Source organism: Homo sapiens, chromosome 15 (genome assembly GCF_000001405.40).
Source record: "Homo sapiens chromosome 15, GRCh38.p14 Primary Assembly".
Classification (NCBI taxonomy): domain Eukaryota; kingdom Metazoa; phylum Chordata; class Mammalia; order Primates; family Hominidae; genus Homo; species Homo sapiens.
The window spans coordinates 20247100-20265075 of record NC_000015.10 but is presented as its reverse complement, the minus strand read 5'-3'; the positions used below and the strand labels follow the sequence as shown (position 1 = coordinate 20265075).

At 48.9% G+C, this 17976-nt stretch overlaps 1 pseudogene; it reads left to right on the top strand.

Moving 5' to 3' along the window:
* RHPN2P1 (rhophilin Rho GTPase binding protein 2 pseudogene 1) overlaps window positions 1-17976 on the top strand; it is a 48446-nt pseudogene that overhangs the window by 11789 nt on the left and 18681 nt on the right.

The window sequence follows — 17976 nt, the reverse complement described above, 5'->3', positions numbered from 1 at the left end:
TGCAGCCTCAACTTCCCGGGCTCAAGTGATCCTCCTCCTGCCTCAGCACGCCTGGCTAATTTTTTATTATTTGTAGAGATGGGGTTTCACTATGTTGTCCATGCTGGTCTCAAACTCCTGGTCTCAAGTGATTCTCCCACCTTGGCCTCCCAAAGTGCTGGGATCACAGGCATGAGTCACTACACCTGACCCCTTTTAACCACCATGCCCAGCTATTTTATTTTTTATTTTTTAAATTTTTAATGGAGACAGGGTTTCACCATGTTGGCCAGGCTGGTCTGGAACACCTGACCTCAAGTGATCTACCTACCTCAGCCTCCCAAAGCGCTGGGATTACAGGTGTGAGCCACCATACCCAGCCCATGGCCAAGTTTAAAGAAAAGAGGCATAGTCAGCTGAGCGCAGTTGCTCATACCTGTAATTCCAACACTCTGGGAAGCTGAGGTGGGAGGATCACCTGAGGCCAGGAGTCCGAGACCAGCCTAGGCAACATAGGAAGACTCTGTCTTTATGAAAAATAACAATATTAGCTGAGTGTGATGGTGCACACCTATAGTCCCCTCTACTGGAGAAGCTGAAGTGGGAGGATGACTTGAGCCCGGGAGTTCAAGGCTGCAGTGAGCTATGATTGCACCATTGCACTCCATCCTGGATGACAGAGCGAGACCCTCATCTCTTAGAAAAAGAAGGCACAGCAAAGTTGTATATTTAGTACAAATCCATTTTTGTAAGACAAGTGTTTGTGTGTGTGTACGTTGAACACACAAAAACAGGAGGAGCTTTAATGTAGAAGTTGTGTAAAGAGGTTACACAGTCACTTGGGAAGACATAATTGAGCCATCTATGTGATCACCTTTCTTGCAGCTTGGGGGAGCCAGCACTTGTAGGGGCGGGGGTGGGGCAACAGGGCAAAACCCCATCTCTATTAAAAAATACAGAAATGAAATTAGCCTGTGGCACGTGCCTGTGGTCCCAGCTACTTGGGAGGCTGAAGTAGGAGGATTACTTGAGCCCAGAGAAGTCGAGGCTGCGGTGAGCCGCGATCGCACCACTGCACTCCAGCCTAGGCAACCAAGTGAGACCCTGCCTCAAAGATAAAATAAAATAAAATGCCTTTATAACATGGTTAAGGGTCTTCTTGGCAAAGGAAACCTGTATCTGGGGACTGTTATGACAGTCCTACCCTCAGGGTCTGTGCTGGGAAACTTGTCTGGGTCCTGAGGGAGGCCCAGAATTGCAAGTCTGAGCCCCTGAATATCTGCAGTGTTTGCAGTATAGTTGAATGTATAGGCCATAGACTAGTCTCAAACTCCTGGGCTCAAGTGATTTACCTGCCCTGTCTTCACAAAGTGCTGGGATTACAGATGTGAGCCATGATGCGCAGACACAAAGACATTTTTAAGCAAAAAATTAACTTCAACTCTCACTTTTACTGAAGCAACACAGCATTTAAAAACATAGGCATGGGGTGCAGTGGCTCACACCTGTAATCCCAGCACTTTGGGAGGCTGAGGCAGATGGATTGCTTGAGCCCAGGAGTTTGAGACCAGCCTGGGCAATGCGGTGAAACTCCATCTCTACTAAAAATACAAAAATTAGCTGGGCATGGTGGCACATGCCTGTAATCCCAGCTACTTGGGAGGCTGAGGCATGAGAATCACTTGAGCCTGGGAGGTGGAGGTTGCAGTGACCCGAGATCGCAACATTCTAGCCTGGACAATGGGAGTGAAACCCTGTTTTAAAAAAAAAAAAAAAAAATTCTATGGCCGGACACTGTGGCTGACATCTGTAATCCCAGCACTTTGGGAGGGTGAGGTGGGTGGATCACCTGAGGTCAGAAGTACAACAATTAGCCAGACGTTGTGGTGGGCACCTGTAACCCCAGCTCCTTGAGAGGCTGAGGAAGGAGAATTGCATGAACCTGGGAGGCAGAGGTTGCAGTGAGCCGAGATTGTGCCACTGCACTCCAGCCTGGGCTACAGAGCAAGACTCCATATAAAAAAAACTACATAAATTAAGAAAATAAATTCCCCCACTTTGAAAATCACTGTAAGTTTTTCTTTATTCTGCCTTTTTAGAAACAGGTCACAAATGACATATTACTGTTATGCACATACATGGTTTTCAATCACATTTTATAGTATCTAACCTTATTTTTCTTTAAGGATTTTATCCTGGAACATTACAGTGAAGATGGCTATTTATATGAAGATGAAATCACAGATCTTATGGATCCGAGACAAGTAAGTTTTTGTGTGCAGCAGAGAGGGGAGGGTAGTTTTTCCAAGTCTTCGGGGAACCCCATTATTGCATGCTTGTGGTCTTAACAGAATCGTGGGTAGATTGAGGTGATGGTTGGGGGGTGCTGGAATCATCCATTCCATTTGCTGCATAAGAAAACTGTAGAAGGAGGCCGGGCACGGTGGTTCACGCCTATGTAATCCCAGCACTTTGGGAGGCGGAGGCAGGAGAATCACCTGAGATCAGGAGTTCCAGACCATCCTGGCCAACATGGTGAAACCCCGTCTCTACTAAAAATTCAAAAATTAGCTGGGCGTGGTGGTGCATGCTGGTAATTCCAGCACTTTGGGAGGCTGAAGCGGGTGGATCACCTGAGGTCAGAAGTTTGAGACCAGACTGGCTAACATCGCAAAACCCCGTTTCTACTAAAAATACAAAAACAAGCCGGGCATGGTGCTACACGCCTGTAATCCCAGCTACTCGGGAGGCTGAGGCAGGAGAATCACTTGAACCTGGTAGGTGGAAGTTACAGTGAGCCAAGATCGCACCACTGCACTCCAGCTTGGGTGACAGAGCAAGACTCCGTCCCCAAAAAAAAAAAGGAAAACCATAGAAGGGGAGAGACCTGCCTCCTGGCAGGGCTGGGACTGGATTCCAGGATTTCTGACTTCCTGCCAGGTTCTTTCCACCCCTCCTAGAGTTTATGATGCCAGCAGTGAGGTCGTCATACTGCAGAAATAGTTACAGGCACCTGCTGGTATGTGCAGGGCACCTTCCGGGAAGGGCTGTCAGCTGTGTCCTCCTCTGCTCATGCCCTCTGGGGTTCTTTTCCTCGCAGGCTTGTCGGACGCCCAGCCGGGATGAGGCCAGGGTGGAACTGCTGATGACATACTTCATCCAGCTGGGCTTTGTTGAGAATTGATTCTTCCCACCCACGCGGCAGATGGGACTCCTGTTCACCTGGTAGGTGCTTGAGGTCTGCGCTGGTGCTTCACGTGTTATGGCAGCCACAGTTTCGGAGCCTCAGCATCACAGACGCCCCTCTGCGGGCACCTCAGCCCCTTTTCCTATCTTGCATTTATCCGGGGTGCACCCCTGTGCACCTCAGCCCCCTTTCCTATCTTGCATTTATCCAGGGAAGTCTAGAAAGATATCAATACATTGGTATTTATTTATGAAGGTGATCCGAGGGAGATGGCCCCAACAGACTGTGGCCTCTTGCTTCTCAGAACAGGTGAGCCAAGGAGAGGAGACATTTTTCTTGCTTGTTGTATCACTGGGGAAGCACAGGGCTCTGAAATGGAATTAGTCAGAAGCAAGATTCTTGTCTCAGATTGGACTGGGGCATGCATGTGTATGTGTGAGTGAGTGAGAGAGAGAGAGAGAGAGAGAGAGAAAATCAGGTCTTGTCCAGTGAGACAAAAGCACCAAACAGAAATAGATCAGGTTTCTTTTGAAATGGGATCTCACTGTGTTGCCCAGGTTAGTCTTGAATTCCTGGGCTCAGGTGATATTTCTGCCTCAGCCTCCTGAGTAGCTGGGACTATAGGCATGAGCTACACACTCAGCTTGGATCAGATTTAAAAAATGGAAGTAGAGGATTTGATTCTTCTCCACAATTGGTATTTTCAGACAAGATCAGGCACGTCAGGGTGGTATGGCCGTAGACCCAATTGGTGTTTTCAAAGATTAGTATACTTTAAATACTTGGGAGCCCGGGTACAGTGGTTTTCACACCTATAATGCCAACACTTTGGGAGGCTGAGGCAAGCAGATCACTTGACCCCAGGAGTTTGAGACCAGCCTGGGCAATGTGGCAAAACCCCATATCTACAAACAATACAAAAATTTGCTGGGTACGATGGTATGCACCTGTAGTCCCAGGTACTCGTGAGGCTGAGGCAAGAGAATCACTTGAGCCTGGGAGGCAGAGGTTGCAGTGAGCCTAGATCACACCACCGCACTGCAGCCTGGGTGATAGGAGTGAAACCCTGTTTCAAAAAAGAAAAAAAAAGGCTGAGTGTGGTGGTTCACACCTGTAATCCCAGCACTTTGAGAGGCCGAGGCAGGTGGATCACGAGGTCAGGAGTTCGAGGCCAGCCTGTCCAATATGGTGAAACCCTGCTTCTACTAAAAAATACAAAAATTAGCTGGGCATGGTTGTGCGTGCCTGTAGTCCCAGCTACTTGGGAGGCTGAGGCAGGAAAATCACTTGAACCTGGGAGGCAGAGGTTGCAGTGAGCCAAGATTGCACCACTGAACTCCAGCCTGGGCAACAGAGTGAGAGTCTGTATTAAAAAAAAAAAAAAACACCAACAACCTAAAAAAAAAGTACTTTGGAGATGCTGCACCCCTTCTCTGAGTGTTTTTAGGAGTGTCAGTGAAAGGAGAGTACATCCTAGAAGGTCGGGGCATATCAGAATTGAATGTTTCTATAGCCGATGGTTGGCTACTGATGCCTTCCTCATTGAAAGCAAAGGAAAGGGGGATGACTTTTCCTAACAATGCACCAGGCTGTCTGCATGGTGAAAGGTGGTTTCTCCTTAGTCATGAATTAGGGAGAAGCTGTCTGCACACCCCTTGGTTCATGAGTAAACTTTAAAACAAGTCCTAGGGCCAGGTGCGGTGGCTCACACCTGTAATCCTAGCACTTTGGGAGGCCGAGGTGGGTGGATCACCTGAGGTCGGGAGTTCGAGACCAGCCTGACAAACATGTCTCTACTAAAAATACAAAAATTAGCCGGGTGTGGTGGTGGGCGCCTGTAATCCCAGCCACTCAGGAGGCTGAGGCAGGACCATTGCTTGAACCCGGGAAGCAGAAGCTGCAGTGAGCTGAGATGGCGCCACTGCACTCCAGCCTGGGTGAAAGAGCAAAACTTTGTCTCAAAAAATAAAAATTAAAAAAAAAATAAATAAATAATACAAGTCCTAGGCTGGGTGTGGTGGTTCACATCTGGAATCCCAGCATGTTGGGAGGCCGAGGTTGGTGGATCACTTGAGCCCAGGAGTTTGAGACCAGTCTAGGCAACACAGTGAGACCCCATCTCTACAAAACAATTAGAGAAAATGTGCCAGGCATGGGTGGCACATGCCTGTAGTCCCATCTCCTTGGGAGGATCAGATGAGAGGATCGCTTAAGCCCAGGAGGTTGAGGCTGCAGTGAGTCATGATCATGCCACTGCACTCCAGCCTAGGCAACAGAGTGAGACTTGGTCTGAAAAAATAAACAAGTAAAACAAATCCTGAGGTTTTAGATTTCAGAAAGAATTATGAGGGGTTAGTAATTGCCATATTTCATTTAGGAGAAGCTATATATATATACACACACACTTTTCTTTTTTTTTTTTTTTTGAGACGGAGTCTCACTCTGTCGCCCAGGCTGGAGTGTGGTGGTGTGATCTCAGCTCACTTCAACTTCTGCCTCCCAGTATCAAGCCATCTTCCCACCTCAGCCTCCCAAGTAGCTGGGCTTAAAGGCACATGCCACCACCATGTATTTTTGGTAGAGAGGGGTTTCACTATGTTGCCCAGGCTGGTCTCAAACTCCTGAGCTCAAGCCATCCACCTGCCTTGGCCTCTAAAGTGCTGGGATTACAAGTGTAAGCCACTGCACCTGGCCCTTTTTTTTTTTTTTTTTTTTTTGAGACGGAGTCTTGCTCTGTTGCCTAGGCTGGAGGACAGTGGCGTGATCTCGGCTCACTGCAACCTCCGCCTCCTGGGTTCAAGTGATTCTTCTGCCTCAGCCTCCTGAGTAGCTGGGACTACAGGTGTGCCCCACCACGCCTGGCTAATTTTTGTATTTTTAGTAGAGATGGGGTTTCACCACGTTGGCCAGGCTGGTCTCAATCCCTGGCCTTGTGATCTGCCTGCCTCGGGCTCCCAAAGTGCTGGGATTACAGGCATGAGCCATCGCACCTGGCGCATTTTTTTTTTTTTTTTATAATTGAGGAACTTACCTGACACATCATTATCACCCAGAGTCCATAGTTCCCATTAGGGTTCATTCTTGTACTTGTGTATTCTGCAGCTTTTGGCCAACATAGAGTGACAGTGATCCATCTTTGCAGTGTCGTACAGAAGAGTTTCACTGCTGGAAAAATCCTCCGTGTGCTCTGCCGTTCCTCCCTCCCTCCCCCTAAGTCCTGGCAACCCCTGATCTTTCTTCTGTCTCCCGGGTTTTTGGCTTTTCAGAATGTTGGACTCACACAGCGTGCTATACAGTAGGTAGCAACGTTCAGGTTGGCTCTTAGTAATGTTTCCTCTGCATCTTTTCAAGGCTTGCTTGAAAAGGCTCCATTTTTAGTACTGAGTAATAGTCCATTGTCTGGATGTCCCATGCTGTGTTTATAAAGTTACCCCATCAGATATTTGTGTGTGTGGCTGTGGCGGTCAGTGCGATTAGTCCTGTCATCTTGCTTGGAAACAAAAGCCTCAGTGCATGTGCATTCTTGAATTTTATTGAAGAAATGAGTTTGTTGTTGTTGTTATTGTCACCCAGGCTGGAGCACAGCGGTGCAATCTCATCTCACTGTAACCTCCACCTCTCGGGTTCAAGCAATTCTCCCGCCTCAGCCTCCTGAGTAGCTGGGATTACAGGTGCCTGCCACCATGCCTGGCTAATTTTTGTATTTTTAGTGGAGACTGGGTTTCACCATCTTGGCCAGGCTGGTCTCGAACTCCTGACTTCAGGTGATCCACCCGCCTTAGCCTCCCAAAGTGCTGGGATTACAGGTGTGAGCCACCACACCCAGCCAACCCAGGAGTTTAACAGCAGTTTGGGTAACATAGTGAGACCCCATCTCTACAAAAATTAAAAAAAAAAATTAGGCAGGTATGGTGGCATGCACCTGTAATCCCAGCTATTCTCATGAGGCTGAGGTGGGAGGATCAATTGAGCCCTAAAGTTGGAGGCTGCAGTAAGCTATGATCACACCACTGCACTCCAGCCTGGGCAACAGAGTGAGATCCTGACTCTTAAAAAAATAATAATAGAGCCAGGCACAGTGGCTCACGCCTGTAATCCCAGCACTTTGGGAGGCTGAGGTGGGCGGATCATGAGGTCAGGAGATCGAGACCATCCTGGCTAAAACGGTGAAACCCTGTCTCTACTAAAAATACAAAAAATTAGCTGGGCGTGGTGGCGGGTGCCTATAGTCCCAGCTACTTGGGAGGCTGAGGCAGGAGAATGGCGTGAACCTGGGAGGCAGAGCTTGCAGTGAGCCGAGATCACGCCACTGCACTCCAGCCTGGGCGACAGAGTGAGACTCTGTCTCAAAAAAAATAAATAAATAAAATAATAATAATAATTTTTTCCACTTGCATCCAAAAGTAGCATTAACTAGCCAAGTAATCTGTACTCCCTGAATGCATTTCTTTCACATAGGTATGACTCCCTCAATGGGGTTCTGGTCAGCCAGCAGAACCTGCTGCTGGAGAAGGCCAGTGTCCTGTTCAACACTGGGGCCCTCTACACCCAGATTGGGACGTGGCGCTATTGGCAGATGCAGGCTGGGCTGCAGAGTGCCATAGATGCCTTTCAGAGAGCTGCAGGTATGTCTCCTCCAGGGCTGACTGGACAGAGCCTTGGCCCCGCCTGGTGGCACCAGGGGACCCCCCACTGAAGAGGGTCTACAGGTCGTCCCCTGCAAGGGCCAGACCAGTCTTCAGCTCTGGTGTAACTTCCCATTAAGAAACTTGCTCTGGCCGGGCGCGGTGGCTCATGCCTGTAATCCCAGCACTTTGGGAGGCTGAGGCAGGTGGATCACGAAGGTCAGGAGATCGAGACCATCCTGGCTAACATGGTGAAACCCCATCTCTACTAAAAATTCACAAAATTAGCTGGGCCTGGTGGCGGGCACCTGTATTCCCAGCTACTCGGGAGGCTGAGGCAGGAGAATGGCATGAACCCGGGAGGCGGAGCTTGCAGTGAGCCGAGATCGCGCCACTGCACTCCAGCCTGGGCGACAGAGCCAGACTCCATCTCAAAAAAAAAAAAAAGAAACTTGCTTGGTGGTTCAGACCTCAGTCTGGGATGGCTGATGTACATGGTGAATCCTGTGGCTGATGATTGATCTTTTCCAGACAAGTGGCCCTGGGATGGCAGTGCATAACTGTTTCTTTCAACACTGTCATGAAGAGCAGAATAACTTTTCCCAAATAGTGAAACTGTAGGCTTCTTTTTCTTGTATTAGGTGTACCCTATCTGTGCATATTACTCTCCGTGCCTTTATTTATTTATTTATTTATTTATTTATTTATTTATTTATGAGATGGAGTTTTGCCCTTGTCGCCCAGGCTGGAGTGCAGTGGCGCAATGTTGGCTCACTGCTTGAAACCTCCCAGTTTCAAGCGATTCTCCTGCCTCAGCCTCCTGAGTAGCTGGGATTACAGGCACTCGCTACCACGCCCGGCTAATTTTTGTATTTTTAGTGGAGATGGGGTCTCACCATCCTGGCCAGGCTGGTCTCGAATTCCTGACCTCAGGTGTTCCGCCTGCCTCAGCCTCCCAAAATGCTGGGATTACAGGGTGAGCCACCGCACCCTGCCCCTCCATGCCTTTATGTCACCTGCATTCTGCCAACTTCTCCAGCATGAGGTGGGTGTTCTCAACCCTTGGTCAAGTGATGCATTCAAAGGATGTCTCATAGCTCAGTTCCCTTCTTCTGGGAACTGTCTTTTGTTATTTTATTTTATTTATTTGTTTATTTTGAGATAGAGTCTTGCTCTTGTCACCCAGCCTGGAGTGCAGTGGCACAATCTCTGCTCACTGCGACCTCTGCCTGCTGGGTTCAAGCAACTCTTCTGCCTCAGCCTCCCAAGTAGCTGGGATTACAGGCGTCTGCCACCATGCCCGGCTAATTTTTGTATTTTTAGTAGAGATGAGGTTTTGCCCTGTTGGCCAGGCTGGTCTCAAACTCCTGACCTCAGGTAATCCTAGTATGAGAACGAGGTGCGGGGTCGAGGAGAAAAGCAACCTAGTGCTTACACCTGTAGAGGACCGGGGTCACCAGACCCAGTGCTGTGGGTGAGCCTGGCACGGCTCACCCTTGCCTACGGGTTCTGCCTTGCTCCCCCATAGCAGGGCCTGTGTCTGGGTCAGACTCCCCGTGGGGATGGATGCAAGAGCAGGGCACAGTGTAGACCACAGTGTGTTCTCCACACTAGCTCTATAGTGTGTTGCCTTCTAGGTTGATCATCGACATTCTGCTTTGGGGTGTGATCCCCTTCCACCCATGTGGATCATTGTTTGATATCACTTTGCCCTGCAAGCTTGTGAAGAACCAGAGCTTTGCCACTTCAACTCATTGTGAAATTTCTGATGTTACAATGATTGGTCCTACCAGCCTGGGCCACACAGGAAGACCCTGTCTCTACAAAATATTTAAAATTAGCCAGGCATGGTGGTGTACGCCCATAGTTCTAGCTACTCCAGAGGCTAAGACAGGAGGATCACTTAAGCCCAGGAGTTTGAGGCTGCAGTGAGCTATGATTGTCAAAAAGAATTTTTTTTTTAATTCAAGAAATAGGCCAGGCATGGTGGCTCATGCCTGTAATCCCAGCACTTTAGGAGGCTGAGGTGGGTGGATTGCTGGAGCTCAGGAATTTGAGATCAGCCTGGGCAACAAGGCAAAACTCCATCTCTACAAAAAGTACAAAAATTAGCTGGGCCTGGTGGTGCATGCCTGTAGTCTCAGCTACTTGGGAGGCTGAGATGGAAGGATCAGCCAAGGTTGTGGTAAGCCAAGATCGTGCCATTGCACTCCAGCCTGGGCGACAGAGCAAGAACCTGTCTCAAAAAATAATTAATTAATTAAAAAAATGAAAGATTGGTCTCTTGGGATGAAGCGATATGCTAAGATTCCAAGTATGAGTTGATTTCTTTTGTTGTAAATCTTTTTTCTGGACTCATCTTTCTGGGGAATCTTAGGCAGGCACTCTGTGTCCTGTCACTGAGATTATAGCAGTGGAGACAAATTATAGATGAAATGAAGCAAGTGGGAGAACAGTGGGGAGGGTGAGGGAACCCCCACGGAGCTCACAGCTCAAAACAGCAGGTGCCATCCCTCCACAGGGTGGGGATTTTTTTTTTTTTTTTTTTTTTTTTTTTTTGCTCAGCAACAAAACCAGAGGACCCAGTTGGATGGGATTCATATGAGAGACTCTATTTCAGTTCCAGATTGATTGTCAGTTAGCGCTTTGGACAGTTAATTTTCTAAACTATAAAGAAGTCAGTGGAAGGCTGCAGCATGAAAATTTCCATTGGAGCAGACGGATTGAGTTTTTTTTTTTTTTTTTTTGAGATGGAATCTCACTCTGTCACCCAGGTTGGAGTGCAGTGGTGAGATCTCGGCTCATTGCAGCCTCCGCTTCCCGGGTTCAAGTGATTCTCCTACCTCAGCCTCCTGAGTAGCTGGGATTATAGGTGTGTACCATCATGCCTGGCTAATTTTTATAATTTTAGTAGAGGCAGGGTTTTGCCATGTTGGCCAGGCTGGTCTTGAACCTGACCTCAGGTGATCCACCCGCCTCGGCCTCCCAAAGTGCTGGGATTAGAGGCATGAGCCACCGCACCTGGCCAGAATAGATCTTTCTTGAGGTCCAGGGGAAAAGCCCTGGACTGCTGAATGACTCAGATCTTATGTGTGAGCCTGGCCGCCTGTGAGCCCCTCAGTCCTTCTGCCTGCTGTCTGCTTGCATCTCCATACCTGTCATGATGGAATTTTGTCCCAGGTGACACAGGAGTTGTGGGGAGCAGGCTGGTTTCTCTACTCAATAGAGATGTAAGTGTTTTGGAAGACAATCCAATTTTAAAAAATTGGGTTAAAAGGCTGGGTGGGGTGGCTCACACCTGTTATCCCAGCACTTTGGGTGGCTGAGGCAGGCAGATCACCTGAGGTCAGGAGTTCAAGACCAGTCTGGCCAACATGGTGAAACCCCGTCTGTACTAAAAATACAAAAATTAGCTAGGTGTGGTGGTGGGCACCTGTAATCCCTGCTACTTGGGGGGCTGAGGCAGGGGGATCGCTTGAACCTGGGAGGCAGAGGTTTCGGTGAGCTGAAATCATGCCACTGCACTCCAGCCTGGGCGCTTATTTATAAATAAATAAATAAATAGTGTTAAAATATACATATATAACTTAAAATGGACTATTTTAACCAGTTTTTTATTATAGTAAAATAACACAGAACATAAAATTACCATTTTAATGATTATCTTAAATTTTTAAAATTTTAAAATTATCTGCCAACCAGAAGCACATTTTAACCATTTTGAAGTGTGCAGTTCAATGGCATTAAGTGCATTTGTACATTCATAGTGTTGTGCAGCCATTACCACTAAACATCTCCGGAAGTTAAAAATTTTTTTTGTTGGTTAGGCAAGGTGGCTCACACCTGTAATCTCAGTACTTTAGGATGCTGAGTCAGGAGGATCACTTGAATCCAAGAGTTGGAGACCAGTCTGGGCAACATAGGCACACCCCATCTGTACAAAAAATTTTAAAATTAGCTGGGTGTGGGGTGGTGCATGGCTGTAGTCCCAGCTCTTCAGGAGACTGAGGTGGGAGGACCTCTTGAGCCCAGGAGTTTGAGGCTGCAGTGAGTCATGATCGTGCCACTGCACTCCAGTCTGGGCAACAGAGTGTGATCTTGTCTCAAAAATAAATAAAATAAATACATTTTTAAAAAGTATATATTTTTTTAAGAGACAGGGGTCTCAGTATGTTGCCCAGGCTGGTCTTGAACTCTTAATGTCAAGCAACCCTCCCACCTCAGCCTCCCTTGTAGCTGGGATTATAGGCAGCAGCCCCTGTGACCAGCTATCTCCGGAACTTTTCCATCTGGATGATGGATAAGCAAAGCTCTGTACTTACTCAGTTAAGCAATAACTTCCCATTGCCCCCTTTCCCAGCCCCAGCTAACCTCTATTCTCCTTTCTGTTTCTGTGAATTTGACTATTCCGGGTACCTTATCTAAATGGAATCCTACAATATTGGTCCTTTTGTGACTGGCTTGTTTCACTTAGCATAATGCCCTTATTTACACTGTACCATATGTCAGAATTTCATTCCTTTTTAAGGCTGAAAAATATTCCATTGTATGGATAGGCCACATTGTGTTTAATCATTCATCTGCTCATGGATGTCTGGGTGGTTTCCACTTTTCAGCTCTTGTGAATAATGTTGCTATTAACACAGGTGTTCAAGTATCATTTAAGCCCCCACTTTCAACTGTTTGGGGATATATATCATAAGAGTGGAATTGCTGGACCATATAATTGAGAATCAAACTTTTTAATATGTTGTAGGACACTGGTTCTTTTTTTTTTCTCCTATCTTTCCTTTTTTTTTTTTTTTTTTTTTTTTTGAGACGGAGTCTGGAGTGCAGTGGTGAGATATCAGCTCACTGCAACCTCTGTCTCCTGGGCTCAAGCAATCCTCCTGCCTCAGCCTCCAGAGGAGCTGAGACTATAGGTGCACGCCATCACACCCAGCTAATTTTTGTATTTTTTGTAGAGACAGGGTTTCACCATGTTGCCCACACTGGTCTTAAATTCCTGATGCAAGTGATCTGCTCGCTTTGGCCTCCCAAAGTGTTGGGATTATGGGCATGAGCCACCGCACCTGGCCTCCTATCTTTCTCTACAGCAACGTGATGAAGTAAATGTAAACCCGAACTAATGGGCAAAACATTTTCCACTTTTAGGGGTTTTAAACTACCTGAAAGAGACATTTACCCATACTCCAAGTTACGACATGAGCCCTGCCATGCTCAGCGTGCTTGTCAAAATGATGCTTACACAAGCCCAAGAAAGCGTGTTTGAGAAAATCAGCCTTCCTGGGATCCGGAATGAATTCTTCATGCTGGTGAAGGTGGCTCAGGAGGCTGCCAAGGTAAGACTCCCTGGTTCCTGTGACTTTGGGGAGTGGGCGGTAAATGCTGGCACAGGAGCACTGGAAGTAGCGGGGCCTTCCCACGGGAGCTTGCCTGTGACCTGGGCATTGTGCCAGCTCCGGCCAGTACTGCTGGCTTGAGTTTTCTTGGCAAGTGTTGGTGTTTCAGATACGGATCACTGATTCCATGTGCAGCTTAACCTAAAAACCAGCATAATGACAGCAGCCTGATCCCCCTGTTAACTGTGACAGTGACAGAATGAGGGGTTGCTTGGAGTTGCTCCCAGATTCTGGAGCAGCCCCTGGCAGGGGCTGTTGCATGAGAAGAAGAAAGGGCTCTTTCTCTGCAAATGGGTTCATGAGGGCCCTTGTGCCGGGCTGCCCCTTCCCAATGCCCCTTCTATTTCAGGTGGGAGAGGTCTACCAACAGCTGCACGCAGCCATGAGCCAGGCGCTGGTGAAAGAGAACATCCCCTACTCCTGGGCCAGCTTGGCCTGCGTGAAGGCCCACCACTACACGGCGCTGGCCCACTACTTCACTGCCATCCTCCTCATTGACCACCAGGGTAAGGCCTGTGGGGTTCAGGGGTTTGGCCAGGGCTGTGGTCCAGCTGCCCCAGGGGTGATTCTGAGCTGAGCGAGAGCTAACTGCCTTCCCTGGAGATGCTCACAGGCTGAAGGCAGAGGATGAGAATGACCCATGACTGAGGCAGCTGCTGCACAGGCCATGGTGGGGTTAGGGGTTATAAGCTTCTTTAGAGAGAGGAAGAGGAGGCACCTTTAATTCTGCCTGTGTGCAAGAGGATGAATTTTCACCTGGAATCTAGAATCTAAGGGAATGCCAAAAATGCTGGCATCAAGATAGGTAACATTTTAAGGTAATATTTTAAAAGAATCCAAATTAATGCAGGCCGGGTACAGTGGCTCACGCCTGTAATCCCAGCACTTTGGAAGGCCAAGGCAGGCAGATCATTTGAGGTCAGGAGTTCGAGACCAGCCTGGCCAACAAGGTGAAACTCTGTCTCTACTGAAAATACGAAAATTAGCCGGGCATGGCGTGTGCCTCTAATCCCAGCTACTCTGGTGACTGAGGCAGGAGAATGGCTTGGGCCGGGGAGGTGGAGGTTGCAGTGAGCCGAGATTGTGCCACCGCACTCCAGCCTGGACAGCAGAGCAAGACTCCATCTCAAAAAAACAAATAATAATAAAATAAAAATTAATGCAAAAAAAATCTGTGATGATCAGAATTTAATTTAATTTAATTTAATTTAATTTAATTTAATTTATTTTTTGGGGTGGGGCTGGAGTGCAGTGGTATGATCATGGCTCACTGCCTTCTTGAACTCCTGGGCTCAAGCGATCCTCCTACTTCAGCCTCCTGAATACCTGGGACTACAGGCACATGACACTACACCAGTTAATTGAAAAAAATTTTTTTTGTAGAGATGGAGTCTCACTATGTTGCCTAGGTTGGTTTCAAACTCCTGGCCTCAAGCAATTGTCCTGCCTTGGCCTCCCCAAAGTGTTGGCATTACAGGCATGAGCCACGGTGCCTGGCCAGGGATTTTTGATCTAATGAGTACTAATCCAGGCAGCCTCCTGAGGAATTAAAAAGACAGCCTCTGGAGCCAGACTTCCTGGGTTCATATCTCAGCTCTGCCATGAATGAGCTGTATTACCTTGGGCAAGTTACTTAGCTGTCCTCTGCCTCGATTTTCTCATCTGTAAAATGGGTATATGGAGAGACTCTACCTCACAGGCTGTCATGAAAATGAAGGGCCTGTATGCAAAGCTCAATAATGCTTTATATGCTGTAGGTTCTCTGAAAGTGTGAGCCACCACTCCTAGTACTATACAGTCTATTAGGTGAGACAAGATGTGGAAACAAATAGAAATACCATATAGTGCCTTGGTGATTGCTGCAGAGACACAAATGCAGCAGAAGGTGGACTCCATGGTGCAGTCATTGATGGCTTCTCAGAGGCGGTGACATTTGAGTTCAACTTTTCCATCTGCACAGGAGGGCAGGGTCAGCCTAGAGGGAGTAAAGTGTCTGAGCACAGGAATAGAGGCCGAGGGTGCTGGGGAAGTGGAGAGTGGTTTTGTGAGGTTTGAGAGCAGGATATGCACCAGGGAGGGTGTGGTTGAAGCAGGAAGGGGCTGTGCTGCAGGTGTGCAGGCCTGCAGAGGGGTGCAGGCCTGCAGAGGGGTGCAGGCCAGGCATGACAGGGTCTGGGCTATGCTAGGAGGTTCTGTGTGGTGGGTGAGTCAGAGGAGGTAGCGTGTGGGGGCTCAGGGTCAAATTATGAACCTCACCGGGTGTGGTGGTTCACACCTACAATCCCAGCACTTTGGGAGGCCGAGCTGGGTGGATCATGAGGTCAGGAGTTCGAGACCAGCCTGGCCAAGATGCTGAAACCCCGTCTCTACTAAAAATAGAAAAATTAGCTGGGCATAGTGGCACGTGCCTGTAATCCCAGCTACTCGGGAGGCTGAGGCAGGAGAATCACTTGAACCCGGGAGGTGGAGGTTGCAGTGAGCCAAGATCACCCCACTGCACCCAAGCCTGGGCGACAGAGCAAAACTCCATCTCAAAAAAAAAAAAAATTCTGAACCTCTGGAGCATGACTGGTTCCAATGAGCAAGAGCTTCGGGGTAGCCAGGCATGGTGGCTCACACATTTGATCCCAGCAATTTGGGAGGCTAAGGCAGGAGGATCATTTGAACCCAGGGGTTTGAGACCAGCCTGGGCAATGTAGCAAGACCTCATCTTTACAAAAAAATTTAAAAATTGGCCTGGCATGTGGTGGTGCATGTCTGTAGTCCTAACTACTCAGGAGGCTGAGGTGGGAGGATCACTTGAGCCCAGGAGTTCAAGGCTGCAGTGAACTATGATTGTGCCATTGCACTCCAGCCTGGTGACAGAGTGAGACCACACTCCAACCTGAGTGACAGAGTGAGACCGTCTCAAAGAAAAAAAAAGCTTGAGGGTCAGACTGCCTGGGGTGTGTCCAGGGGCAGAAAGGAGAGCGAGGATCCCAAATGCCTTGTGAAACTGCAGAAGAAAGGAAACTAGAGACATGGTAGAAAGAGAAATCTCTATGTGGGTCTGTGGCCAGATCCATGAGAGGGGATTTAACCTGTGGTTCTCTTTGCAGTGAAGCCAGGCATGGATCTGGACCACCAGGAGAAGTGCCTGTCCCAGCTCTACGACCACATGCCAGAGGGGCTGACACCCTTGGCCACACTGAAGAATGATCAGCAGCGCCGACAGCTGGGTGTGTGTCCCTCTGCATCCACATGTGGGTCCCACTTTGTGCCCAGCTGATCCTGCTCACAGACAGCCACAGAGAGGTCCCTGAAGAGGGCCTGGGAGAGGGGGGTGTTCCAAGTCATCGTGGCCACTTTGGGTTCAGAAGTCATGAGGTGCAGTCCTGAGCCTCAGAGGGCTTCCCAGGCTGTGTTCTCATGGGTTCCATAGCACCCAGGCCTCCCACTGTGGAGCCAGGACTTTAACCATCTCCCTTGGGGTCCATAGGGTGGCCTGTATCATGCTAACAGGGAAGGAAACGTTTGTTGATTTCTTTATGCATGGCTGAATTACCAAGAACACCTAATGACTGGTAATGAAGTGTCCTGGTTTGGTCTCTGCCATGTCTCAGTGTGACTATCTCTTCCCATGTGCAGACCTCACCTCCACCACCCTAATCTGCCCCCACGCACACATACGCAGCTTCCCCGTCTCAGTGATGGCAACTCCCACCCCTCTAGGTGCTCAGGCCAGAAACCTTGGACTCACTCTCCACTCTTCTTTTCTTTCCTCCTCTTTCCCCTCCTCTCCCCTCTGCTCCCCTCCCCTCCCCTCCTGTCCCGTTCTCTCCCCTCCTCTTCCCTCCCCTCTGTTACCCTCCCCTCCCCTCCTCTCCCCTTCTCTCCCCTCTCTTCTCCCCTCCCCTGCTCTCCTCTCTCCACCGTCCTCCCTCTCCTCTCTCCTCTGTCCTCCCTCTCCTCTCCTCCTCCCTCTCCTCCCCCCTCTCCTCCCCTCCCCTCTCCTCCCCTCCTCCCTCTCCTCTCCTCCCCTCCTCCCTCTCCTCCCCTCCCTTCCCTTTCTCCCCTCCCCTCCCTTCCCATCCTTCCCCTCCTCTCCTCTCCTCCCCTCTCCCACCTCCCCTTCACTCCCCTTTCTCCTCCTCTCCCCTCCCCTCTCCTCTCATCCTTCCTCCTCTCCCCTCACCCTTCCCCTCTCCCCTCATCCCCTCCCCTCTCCCCTCATCCCCTCCCCTCTCCTCCCCTTTTCTTGTTCCTTGTTGCTTTCCTTTTCTTTCCCTTTCCTTTCCTCTCCTTTATTCTTTCTTTCTTTCTCTCTTTCTCTCCTCCCCATCTACCCTTCTTCCCTCCTTTCCTCTTTCCTTTTCTTTCATTTGCTTTCTTTGACAGCGTCTTGCTGTCCCCCAGGCTGCAGTGCAGTAGTGCAATCACAGCTCAGTGCAGCCTCGAACTCCTGGCTTCAAGTGATCCTCCTGCCTCAGCCTGCTGAGTAGATGGGACTATAGGCATGCACCACCATGCCCGGCTAATATTGTAAAAAGGTTTTTGTAGAGATGCCGTCTCACTATGTTGCCCAGGCTGGTTTTGAACTCCTGGCCTCCAGCGATCCTCCTGCCTCTGTCTCCCAAAGAGCTGGGTTTACAGGCACGAGCCACCACACCTAACCTCTTGTCTTACTTTCTCACCCTACATTTGATTAGCAAATCCCTTTGGCTGTACCTAGAAGACACACTCAAATCTGGCCACTTTAACCCTGCTGCCCTGGTGGAAGCCACATGTGTACAGTGCTTATGTA